The sequence below is a fragment of the Homo sapiens genome, chromosome 2 (assembly GCF_000001405.40).
Source record: "Homo sapiens chromosome 2, GRCh38.p14 Primary Assembly".
In the NCBI taxonomy this organism is placed as follows: Eukaryota; Metazoa; Chordata; class Mammalia; order Primates; family Hominidae; genus Homo; species Homo sapiens.
In genome coordinates this window covers 239,962,351-239,974,974 of record NC_000002.12, presented here as the reverse complement: position 1 = coordinate 239,974,974, position 12,624 = coordinate 239,962,351, and the positions used below count along the sequence as shown (strand labels likewise).

Sequence of the window (12,624 nt, the reverse complement as noted above, 5' to 3'; positions counted from 1 at the left end):
TTGGTGGCGGAGGAGTGTCACATGTTTTTAAATGACCAGCTCTTTGGTGGCGGAGTGTCACATATTTTTAAATGACCAGCTCTTTGGTGGTAGAGTGTCACATAGTTTTAAATGACCAGCTCTTTGGTGGCAGAGTGTCACATATTTTTAAATGACCAGATCTTTGGTGGCAGAGTGTCACATATTTTTAAATGACCAGATCTTTGGTGGCAGAGTGTCACATATTTTTAAATGACCAGCTCTTTGGTGGCGGAGTGTCACGTATTTTTAAATGACCAGATCTTTGGTGGTAGAGTGTCACATATTTTTAAATGACCAGGTCTTGTGTGAACTCAGAGTAAGAGCCTACTCATCACCAAGGAGATGGCCCAAGCCATTCATGAGGGATCAGCCCGCATGATCCAAACACTTCCCACCAGGCCCCACCTCTGACACTGTGAGTTACATCTCAGCATGAGATTTGGAGGGGACATCCACACTCTCATTTGATGAACATGCTGGTGACATGGGTACACAGACGAGTAAAGAAAGACCTTTTCACAGCAGAGTGGATCTTAGATTTTCATATGAATAGAAGGGTTTATGATTTTTGGTTTTGTTGATCCTGTGACCTTGGAGTGTTTGTCTTGTCACTTGTCTGGCTAGTGTCCTGATGGCTCTCAGGCACCTGTCCACACTCTAGGCGACACCCAGCGCTAGGGCACTGATGCCTCAGGAATCCAAGTTTTCATCTAAAACAGCGTTTTCATTGGGTGCAGTGGCTCACGCCTGTAATCCCAGCACTTTGGGAGGTTGAGGCGGGCGGATGACTTGAGGTCAGGAGTTGGAGATCAGCCTGGCCAACATGGAGAAACCCTGTCTCTTCCTAAAAAACACAAGAATTAGCCAGGCGTGGTGGCGAGCACCTGTAATCCCACCTACTCGGGAGGCTGAGGCATGAGAATCACTTGAATCCAGGAGGCGGGGGTTGCAGTGGGCCAGAATTGCCACTGTGTTCTAGCCTGGGCAACAGAGTGAGACTCCATCTCAAAAAAACTAAAATTAAATAAAAATAAATAAGTAAAGCAGCATTTTCAGTGGGGCATGTGTACCTGGGGTCTGAGCAATATATATGAACATGTTTTTCCTTAGCGACCCTCCTCATTTTGTGCCCGGAATTGACCCTGTGTAAGTTCATGAAAATACTGAATGTGTGCAGGACAGGCTGCTGATTTTTTAAAGTCACGTTTTAAACATTGTATCAGGTCACTTTTTATTTCTGTACAGCCCTTCTTTGGATTAGACAAACTGTGATTTGGTTTCTATTTTACCAGTTCAGTCTCTTCAATGGAAGGAAGCCAGATGCTGTTAAGATACTGTGCTCCCTCCTTGAAGCTGATCGTTCCCTCCTTGAAGCTGATCGTTCCCTCCTTGAAGCTGATCGTGTCCAAGATAGTTGCTAGGACAACAGAATCTTCTGTTTTCTCGCCTGCTATTTTTGTTTCTTTTACTATCTCAAGTTGTTTTCATTTTCAGTATTGAGTTCTCCCTTACCATTTTTTAAAACAGAGATGTTTTTATTAACTTTAATATGTTAATACTGTATGTTCTTGCCTTTATGAAATTCACCTTACAGAAAGGCACTAGGATCAGTTTACCTAAACATGCGGGAGACGGAAGGCCAGACGTGACTGCTTTAGGTTCCTCATGACATTCAGACCTTACTTGGAACTCAGTTTGGTATCTAGTTGTGTTAAAATACAAATTTTCAGTTTATAAGTTACTTAATTAAGTTTGAAAGTAAATGCGTAATGCCTTCAGTGTTCTCTCCACTTTGTGCCCTGCCACCTGCACTGTGGAAATTAATCATAGAAACTCGGCGTTAATCTGTATGCCCGAGTTATTTACATCTCTGTGTATGGAAAATTATCAGCATGTGTCCCTCGAAGAAGATGATGAGCATAAAAGGTGATCTTTACCAGGTCCATTGGTTTGTATGTGATTGCTGTGGTATGTGGTATCTGCCTGTCTACTGATGGAAAGTGGTAAGATACTGTCTTACATGCAATCTGGAAAATCAAGTGCCCTGACTTTACAGTGTGTTACATATGATTGTATTTACTTTAGAATTTTTAGAAAGCATACCATTTTCAGGTTTAAAACAAGCACTTAGGTTAGGAGCTTTTCTATTATTCACAGCTAATAAGAGTTAAGGAGGATTAAGACATTTGAACTATTGTTAATACTCATTGCAACAAATATGACAGCTAAATAATGATATATTTGTAGGAAGCTATAGTTTTATGTGTTAAAAAATAGAACACACATTTTCAAAATAAAAATATGGTTTTTGAAAGTTGACTGTTAAAAGATTTTTTGAAAATTTATGCCAATTTTGTTACATTCGATTTGTGTTCTACAGTAATGGAAATTAAGGGAAATTGTGTATCAGAGAAGTGTCTTTAATATCTATAGTGCTCTTCTTTAAAATTAATGAAAAACTCCAAGCAGAATTGATTAGCATTTATATGTTATAATGGAAAATAGGAGTTGGAAACTGGAATTTCCAAATCACCCCAGAACTTTGCAGTATTTTGAAGCTCCTTAGTGCATCTAGAGAGAGGGGAGCCAGTCATGCTTGGCATAACCCATTGCTTGCCCCAGCAGAGTGAAGCCCACCCGGTACACAGGCCCTCACTCAATCGTTTTTTTGTTTAATTTATATATTTACAGTAATACAATAAAGGGTTTGTTGCTGGAATATACACATATTTATTTATATGTATAATATTTATCAATATATTTACAAATATATGTATACATGTACACACACACACACACACACACACACACACACATCCTTCATGAAAACTCTTTCAGCTGGGAAACTGAGCATCCTTGAATGTCCCTGAGGTGACTACTAGGATATAAACATCCCCCAAGAGAAGTGCTTTGAGTTACATACGAAAGGACCTGCAGAAAGATTGGAGTCACCTTTATCTGGGTAGAGTGGATTGTGGACCATAACCTAACAGACACCCAAGAAATCTCATAGCTGAGACCTTGAGCAACATACCTTTACTATATATATGCTGATTGACAGATAAATGGAAAATTGGAGGGAATGAGGGGAATTCAGTAAAACCTCGTATAAGTAGTATGTGATTGAGGAAAGAGCTTATTGTGTTATTTTTAAGAGTTAGCACACTAAAAGTTACAATTTAATTCAACGAATATTTACATGCTGTAGTGGGAAAAAGATCCTGGACTTGATCATTAAAAGATCGGGGCTCCACTTTCAGCCTGCCACCAGCTAGCCACGTGACCGTAGGCAAGTCAAGTCTCTGAACACCCTGTCTCTTTTAAAACAGAGACTGTGCCTTCCTTTACCTCATGCTGTCAGGGTCACAGGAAATAACACTAGTAAAAAGGTTTCTACTTAGAGGCTGCCCACTAATATCAGTAAGTGTATCAATGATTGCATTGGACATAACTTTGTGATGAGTACCAAAGAAAAGTCAAAGGATGAAGGGAGCTCTGAGAAGGAAGGGGCATTATTTCATGGCAGGATTCGAGGAGGCAGAGGTGGCTCAGGACAGCACTTCAAAAAGAGTGAGTGGCATAGGTGTTCAGTAGAGAAAAGCCATGGCCTTGGCCAGGAATAGCAAGTCAGCTGCCACACTCAAGGAAGACCTACTTGGAGACCCTTGCGATGTACCTGGGCGGGGAGGTGCTTGTTCAGGAGGTTTCTTTGGCTTTCTCCTGAATGACATTTCCTGAGATATATCTACTATCAAGTTAATCACATTCACTCACCAAATAAGTTCTTTTCTGCTTTCTTCTTACAAAGTAGCATTTGAGAATGTTTTTATGTGGCACTTCTTTCATTACTGTAGTTCTCTGATAAGTAACTGCCTAGAGCAGTAGTAGGGCTGTTAAGTGTTAGAGGCTGTCTTTGCAAAAACTGAAATAATGACACAGAGAAGCTTGTCCATAAAAATGAATGATTCAGTGACATCTGTTGTTATTAGCCAAACCCTGGATAGGAACTTTCTTAGAGGGAGGTGAGGTGCCCTCTCTGGCTGAACTACCTGCTCATTCTTACCTTACATTTCAACCATATATAATAGCAGGTGAGATTCACATTTACATCTTTTCCTAAGTTCTTTTTAGAATGGTTATGTACTGTAATTCCATCTTATTTCCTTTGTGGCCTTACGAGCTACCCCTCTTTATTTCATTTCTGATGATTGCTGTAGGGTTTCACCACGGGCAACTCTAACTTGTCACAGTCAATCCACACCTTGTCAGCATTTAACCGCCTCACACAGAATGCAGGTATCTGGCCCGAGGCCACAGCTGTTCCTGCCCTCTGTGTTCTTTGTGCTGTTATTCTCATATACTTTCACAGAAACCACACAATGGACTGTTGTGATTTTGGCTTTAAACAGTAAGTTATCTTTTAAAGAGATTGAAACAATTTTTTAGTCTTTTAGTCTTTTATCCTTCCCTCTACCATTTCTGATGTGCTTCATTCCTTTGTGTGGACCTGAGTTTCCACCCGGCATCATCTTTCTCCTGTGTGAATAACTTCCTTTAGCAGTTGTTATAGAACAGATCTGGGAGCAGTGAATTCTATTAGCTGTTGCTTTTCTGAAAATATATAGTTCAACTTCATTTTGTTGAGTATTTTCTTTTGATATAGAATTCTAGGTTGACAGTTTTTTTTTCCCCTCCAACACATAAAAGATATTCCATTGCCTCTTGGCTTGCATAGTTTCTAATGAGAAGACTGCAGTTCTTCCTAGCTTTGGTTCTTGTCCCTGATGAACCTTTTTTCCCTTTGGTTGTTTGTAAGATTTTCTCGTGATCTTTTTCTTACTAGTTTTTCATAATTTAATTATGGCATGCATCTGCGTGGTTTTCTTGGTATTTATCCTGCCTGGGGTTTATTGAGTTTCTTGGGTGGCAGGATTATCATTTTCAGAACACATGGAAAGTGTTTGGTTATCATTTCTTCAGATTTTTTTCTATCCTCCCCCTTTTGGGGACTCTTATGTATCCATGCATTAGGTGACTTGCTATTTTCCACAGGTCCCTGTGACTCTGTCCATTTGTTTTTGGCCTTTTTCTTTCTGTGCCTAATTTTGGATAGTTTCTGCTGCTCTGCCTTCAAGCTCACTTATCTTCTGTGGGTGTATGATATGCTGTTAATTGCATTGTGTTGGTTTAGGTCTTCCAAGAATCAGAAGCCAAGAGATTAGATGTCGAAGAGGTCTGTTGGAAGAAAACACCTTTGAAGGATCGGGGAGAGGAAGTCTGAGATGGCAGGAGAGCCTTTGCTCTTCCTTGCGGGACTGTGACAAGAGACAGGAAGAAAGAATCCAGGAAAGATTTGGCCAGGCTGATGAGTGTCCTAGAGCCAAAGATGCCTGTCAGGGAGTCCCATGTCCACAGGAACAGCTGGCACCAGAAGCTCTTCTGTGCTCCATCACTGACCAGGCACATTCTGTAACGTGCGTGGCCGTGGCATGAACAGGCAGCAGATCCTGAGGGTCAGGAGCAGCAGGAGCGTTGCAGAGGAGCACACTTTCCTCCCTGCAGTAGGAGCTCGGCAGAGCACATTTTCATGGCCACCACACTTATCCAATAGAATTGTGTTTTAGGAATCCTGTTTTTTAGCTCTAGAAATTCTGTTTGGTGCTTTTTATGTTTTCCAGTTCTCTCCTTATGTTTTTCATTTAATTCTTAGAGCATACTGAACATTTTTATAACAGCTGTTGTAATGTCTTTGTTTCCTAATTCATCGTCTTTGTCAGTTCTGAGTTGGCTTGATATTTTCCCCTTGTTATGGGTTACATTTTCCTGTTTCATACGCCGAGAGATGTCTCATTGCTTTGCCATACGTTGCAAATTTTACGTTTTTGAGTGCTAGATCTTGTTCTATTCCTTTGAACTGTGTTAGAACTTTTTTTCTGACAGCAGTTAAGGTACTTGCAAGTCAGTGTAAACCTTTTGAGGCTTGATGTTTCAGCTTTCTGGTGAGCCTGCAATGGGCTTTCTTCAGGAAGGGCTTAGCCCAGTATCAAGGCATGGCCATGGGGTCCCTGTTGAATGCTGCATGCGTGCAGCGAGAGGCCCCTCTGCTCTGGCCAGTGGGAGCTCGCCGACTCTCAGCCCTAAGTGAACTCTGGGAGTCATCTGCTTGCAACTCCCTGGAAACTGTTCTTTCCCAGAAGTCGACTTTGTCCAGCTTCATGGAGTTTTACCCCCTGCACACACTGATGGCTACTCAGCCAGAGACCGAGTGGGTCCCCTGTGCAGATTTCTGGAGCTCTTTTTCTGCCTAGGCCCCACCCCTTTAGTGCTCTACTCCGTAAAATCTAGTCACTGTGTCCTGCCCAGAGTCAGATGCAACCACCAGACTCAGTTTCTCCAGTTTCTAAATGTATCTGGCTGGGAGGCAAGTACAGACCCTGTTACTGCCTCATGAAAGGAAACTGTTGACTACTACTTGGCCTGGTGCCTCTCACTTAGGCCCTAACAGTATAACTGATTGCCCAGGAGCTGCATAGTTCACGTTAACTGAAGTCTGAAGTGTATTTCGGGAGGGGGCATTTTTCCATGTCAGGGCTTCTTTAAGACCACAAAGCTGAAGTCTGTGCTCGCTGCTCAGCGGAGGCCGTGCTCTGCGCATTGCGTGCATTTGCTGCCTCCTCCCTCCTCCTGAATGGCCACCTCTTCCCTGCTGATCCGCATGCTGTCTGCACCTGAAGCCTCTCTCCGTGTTGGTCAGGTAGGATTTCTCCACCCTTTTCGCCCTCCATCACCTTCCATCTTCTACTTTGGGCTTCTCCCACATTCCAACTCATTTCTAGGTTTTTCTAGCCAGAGAAGAGAGGACTGGCTTCGTTCATCTCTCTCAAAGTAGTTAGGACACAGCGTTTCACCAGTAGAAGGAGTTTCCTCCATTAGAATGAGTGACTGTGTGTGTGTGTGTGTGTGTGTGTGTGTGTATATTTTTTTCCTTGACTGATTTCTGTGCGAACAGCTGGCATTTGAAGCACTATATAGGGCATGTCTAAATTGTGCACCCAAGAGAAGAGCCTGGGAGAAACCTCATTGTGCGGCCTTGGCCCTCATGGCACAGATCCCAGGTTGGCTGTAGCATTTAGAAGTGGACACTTTTCTAACATCAGAACTCATCCAGTCCTTACGTTGAATCACACAAACTCAGTGGCGTCACTTTGGATCAAAGAACAGCACGTTTCAGCTGCCTCTGCGACCTCACCTGGAGCTGGAGAATCACCCTGTTCCCCGCTGTTGCCAGGCGCAGGACCTGGCACCTGTAGGCACTTAGCCGGCACAGGACCTCGTACCTGTGGGCACTTAGGAAGTAATTGTGGGCTAAGTGAACTTAAACCACGTCGTGGACTCAGCTTTACTGTCTTGTTGTTACCTTCCTGTACTTTCTTAGGCCAGTGATCAGCAAAGGTTTCCTTTAAAGAGCCAGAGAGTAAAGGTTCCCAGCTCTGCGGGCCACACAGCCTCTCACAGCCGCTCAGCTCTGTGCTGTGTGAAAGCACCACCAGCCAGTGTGTAAATGCATGGGCCAGGTTGTGCCAGTGAGGCCTCATTTACAGAAGCAGTCAGCGGCGAGATTTGATCTGTGGGCTACAGTTTGCCGACCCATGCATGAGGCAGTAAAAGGCCAAGAGCCTGGTATAAATTCATAACGAGAAACCAAGGCTCTGAATCAGCCCCGAAGTGTAAGCAGCAGCATAATGATCTGGAGCAGCATCTTGGCGTTATTAAATTCAACCCATTCCGATGGCTGCGTCAGCATCTATTGCTCTGTTTATTGTTTTTCCTTAAGCAAGCAGTTCCATTTCTAGAAATTTATCTCAAGCACATAAATCTAGAGGGGGCACATCGGTGTTATTTATGACGGGAAAACTGGGAACAGACACAGCCCTAGGCTGGAAGAGGCACAGAGTGATGTACAGCATGGGCCAGTGGTTAGGAGCAGACTCAGGAGCCAGGGGACACGGCTCCAATTCTAGCTCTGTGAACACACTGGCCGTGTGCCACCCTCAGCAAGTTACTTAATCTCTCTCTCTTAGGGAAAAAAAAAAAAAAAAAAAAAAGAAATCCTTGCACATGCTGTAAAATTCAAAAGATGAGAGATGTTCCTTCTTTGTTCCCCAGCCGCCCAGGGCCCCTCCCTCAGGCAGCCTGGTTCAGGTTTCTTTGTAGCCTTCCGGTTGGTGGGGGAGAGGGTAGCACCTGTGTGTGTGTGCCATTCACCCTCTTAACTGTGAGGGTCAGGAAAATCATCATGTTAGTTTACATTAAGCATGGACTTCTGACACACAGATTTGCACACAGATATTTGGGGGAAATCACGAGTGGGTTTGATGAGCGTGTCCAATACTGTCTCTTCTCCAGTCTTTCCTGTATATGAATCAGGATGCACGGGTGGGAACAAGTCCGGTCCTGTGGGGTTTTCCGGGAGAAGAAAGTACAGATCCACATTCCCAAACAGGCTGGGCCACATCCCCAAGCAGGCTGGGCTGCAGTGTGCACACCCTCATGTGTCATTTTGTATCTGCTAGTACAAATGTGCACACCCTCTGCAGCCTGGAATGGAAGCCCACCCTGCTCATCCTCCATGTCTGGGCTCCATCGGGGGCCAGGGGGAGTTGTCATTTCCAGCCCAGCCCCCTGTGACCAGCAGCCCTTAGGGAAAGGAACTTGGTTTGTACACTGAGTCAGCCCAGGTTGTCGGTGACTGGGCAGGGTGCCTCCCAGTGCACTGTCTAAAATCCCTTCCCAGCTCCAGGCCTCGCCCTGGAACACTCCCGGTGGGCCACCAGGGACTGACACACGCCAGGGTCATGGGTGGAGGGCAGCTTAGCTGCTTGGCTCTGGAAGAGGACTTGGAATGTTTGGCTTTGTAATTTATTGAGGTTTTTTTTCCCTTCAGTAAACTTCCTTTTTGATTTCTAATGGAAAATGGAATACAGGGAAAGAGCCTCCTGAAAGTGTTAAACTTATCAGAGCCCTGTGAATGTAATGAGTCCAAAATGCCTTGAATTTAGAGATCCAGCGAGGGAAACTCCGTTCGCATTGTACAGTAGAGGGGATTGCAGAGGATGAGCATTGGAGGGGTTTGTTCCTTTTTCTGTTAGGCGCTCTTTCTTCTTTTGCTCCTTAAGGATTCTTGGTTTGCTCACCCGGTGTATACTCGGCAGAAGCCCTGACTTCTGACAGGAGGAAAATGATTTTCTTTTCATTTTAAAGTGGGTGTACGGCCTTGATAGTTCACCTGAGATAGTTCACCGCATGCCCTTTGCATCTCAACCTTTGGACGCACAGCCACACACATGGGTGTCACGCACCCGGGCACCGTGAACGAGCAGATCCGGGAAAGCGTGGCTCGGGAGGAAGGTCTGACGAGGCCCGTTGCGGCTCCCGGAGTGAGGCTGCCCTGCGAGGGAACGGGCTTTGCTGCTTTCCTCCCTGAGGCGTTATCATGCGCGTTTTCTCATGTGATGAATGAGCACTGGGTTTTGGGGGTGGAAGGCTTATTTTAAATTAGCAGATACAGACGTGAAGTAGACATGTAAACAAAGTGGATGATTTTGCATTTTCCTGGTGTGAGATGCTGCAAATGAACCCCTCCCCCCCCGCATGGTTCTCTGTTGGCCTAAAACACTGAAAAGAGACCCCAGGATCTGAGAACCCTCCTGGGTATCAAAGGCCAGTTAACTGCTGCCTGAGAAGTCCAGACACAAACTTTCCGAGACAATTAATGGCCACTGGCTGGACTTAGCAGGTTTGGTATTCTGCTAGTTTCTATTATCTGCTCTGATTTAAAATTCTATTTGCAAAGATGAAAATGGAGCCAGACTGTCCCAAACCCAGCCCTTCCTCTGTCAGTACTGCTGTGAACAGACCTGCGTGGCTGGTCCTGTGTTTGGGTAAAACATTAAATGACAACTTTAATTGAAAAACCCTGGGGAAGCTGACCCAGGGCGTCTTAAGAGAGGCGCCTGCTGGCCGTCGTGTGGGTTTGCAGCAGGTTGGTTAAACGGGAAAACCTTTCGGTGATCTTTTGTTCAGGTGTCAACTTTCTGTTCTTTGGGCTTAATTCTGCAGTTGGTCCTTTAGGGAAAAAGAAATGAATTTCTGGCAGGACCACCTCTCAGATGTGGAACCAACTACAGCGTTACCGTTTCCTGGCTGCGGCAGTCGTGTTTGAGTGTGGTTCTGCTGGAGGTGTCCTCGCCGGCAGTGTTCCTGGAGGGCCTTGCTGCTTTCACAGCTCTCTGGCCTGCCCCTCCCTCCGGGTTTGTGTTCTTGGGGTTGACCCACACTCTCCTGCATCCTCGACCTGTTCCCCTGCACAGTTTTTTTCTTCCTGGTGTACAGATGTGACCCGGTATCTCCCATCATAAAAAGCAGACACCCGGCAGGAGTCGTCTGCTGCTGCTGCTGCCAGCTACCACTCTCTAGCAGCTTAAAACAATACACATGCATCCTCCTAAAGTTCTGGAGGCAGAGGTTCTAAAATCACGGTGCAGGCGGGGCTGGCTCCTTCCGGGGGCTCAAGGGGAGATTGGTGTCCTTTCCCTTTCCAGCTTCTAGAGGCCGCCCACATTCCTCAGCACCTGGCCCCACATTACTGTGGCTGTTGCTTCCATTGTCACATCTCCTTCTCTGATTTCTGAGGACCCTAGTGATGGCCTGGGGCCCACCCAGATAACCCAGATGATCTCCCAGTCTCCTGCTGCAGAGGCCCTTTTGCCAGGTGAGCTCATGTGTTCACAGGTTCTGGAGGCTGGGCATCTTGAGATAGAGATCTCCACCACTTCTTGATGCAGAGACCCCGCCTACCAGCCCCCTGCACATGCATGGGCGTGCAGGCATAGACATACGTGCCATTACCTGGCGTGTGAAAGGTGGCCCAGGTGTTGTGTCCCCTTCCTCAGCTGCTGACTGCTTCCCCGCTAGTGTGGTCTTTTCCCACCCCGCTCCTCCTGTCTTCGTGCAGAGCTAGTGGCCATCTGGTGACCGTGACGCGAGGCCCCGTATGTCACGCGTGGTCACACCCAGCTCCTCCGGTGGCCTGTGTGCCTCACTCCTCAGTCCCTCTGCAGCCTCAGGCCTCAGCCATGCAGTGCTGCTCTTTGGCCTCTTCTCTTGTCCAGCACCCTGGATGGTCGGCTCACATGGCGCTGCCTCCCTCAGTTACTGGGAGGTGGCTGCACAGCCCTGTCTTCTAAGCCACAGACGCAGGTTTCCAACTGCCCACGGGTCATCTCTATGGGGCAACCCGCCATGTAGCCCCCACACCCTGCACATATTCTATAAGCAGACCGGACACTTACCTTCCCTGGGGCTGACCAGCTCTTTCTCTCTCTCACCCAGGCCTTCCTGACCCCGTCAGGCCCTTTGAGGCCAGCCCCAGGTGCCCGTCACTGCTCCCCGGTCTAGAAATAGCACCTACAGCCCGTCTGACACAGGTCACAACTTAGGCCAAAGGTCTTGTCAGACTGTGAAGCCAGAAAGTCACGTCCCTCTCTTGCGGTCTTCCTGCCACTTGTAGACACCTGTAGTTCGAGCAGCAGTGTTGGGGGATCCCCCTGGCCCTGGAGGGTCCCTCACTCTCCTGACGCCTCCCTGGACTCTGCCAGACTAGCTGCCTGCGCCCCCTCCTGGGATCCCACAATACCAAACCCCCTGGGCTGTCTTGGCATCACTGGCTGAATGACCTGGGCTTTCATCTCAGTCTCTCTTCAGATTTCAAACTCCTGAAGGAGCTGGGTTTTTCTTTTTTTGTGTGTGTCCCAGAATTCTCCTGGCACCCAAACAAAACCGTCTGTATCCACACTGTATCCTGGGCCAGAAAGCTGGAGGCTGGCTGTGCCACCCTCCCCCCCGCCTTTAGATGGGCATTGATGTAGTTAGGATGTCTGTCCCTCCAGATCTCATGTAGAAATCTGATCCCCTGTTGGAGGTGGGGTCTGGTGGGTGGTGTTTAGGTCATGGGAGTAGATCCTTCATGAATGGCTTGGTGCCCTCCTGGAGGTAATTAGTATGTTCTCACAGAGTGCGCGTCGACCTCTCATTTTAAAGTATATGGCAGCTCCCACCCCCTACCCGCCTCATGCTCTTGCTCTTGCTCCTACTCCCACTATGTGGCGTACCTGCCCCTGCTTTGCTTTCCACTATGATTGGAAGCTTCCTGAGGCCTTCCCAGAAGCAGATGCTGGCACCATGCTTCCCACACAGCCTGCAGAACCATGAGCCAATTAGACCTCTTTTCTCTCTGCATTTCTCAGCCCCGGGTATGTCTTTATAGCAGTGCAAGAATGAACTAACAGAGCACCGGCCCCTCCACTTCCAGGTCCCACTTCACAGCTGTGCACCTAGGAGAGGAGAGGCTTTCTGGGGAGGAGGAAGGGTGGCTCCTGGGCCTTGAAGATCCTAGAGCTTTGCCTGTCCTGTGTGTGAGATGGCTGGTCTTGGGGCGACCTGTCTGCTGCTTCATAGGATGCATTGTGTGTTCGTCTGTCACTGCGTGGCCACTGTGGCAGAGGCCAGGCAAGGCACATTTCAGTGATTTGTGATCCAGGCAGC

At 46.9% G+C, this 12,624-nt stretch overlaps 1 protein-coding gene across 8 annotated transcripts in view; it reads left to right on the top strand.

The window, feature by feature from the left end:
- Positions 1–12,624, top strand: part of NDUFA10 (NADH:ubiquinone oxidoreductase subunit A10) — a 132,901-nt gene that overhangs the window by 50,368 nt on the left and 69,909 nt on the right. Inside the window, exon 10 of one of the 8 annotated variants that reach the window (NM_001410987.1) lies at positions 5,213–5,755. The exons of 6 other annotated variants lie outside the window; for them this stretch is intronic. In NM_001410987.1, the coding sequence (NP_001397916.1) occupies positions 5,213–5,302 (90 nt within the window). In that variant the 3' untranslated portion in view covers positions 5,303–5,755. Of the gene's footprint in view, positions 1–1,313; positions 2,336–5,212; positions 5,756–12,624 lie in introns of those variants that run through there. One more of the 8 variants, NM_001322019.2, reaches the window with a different exon arrangement.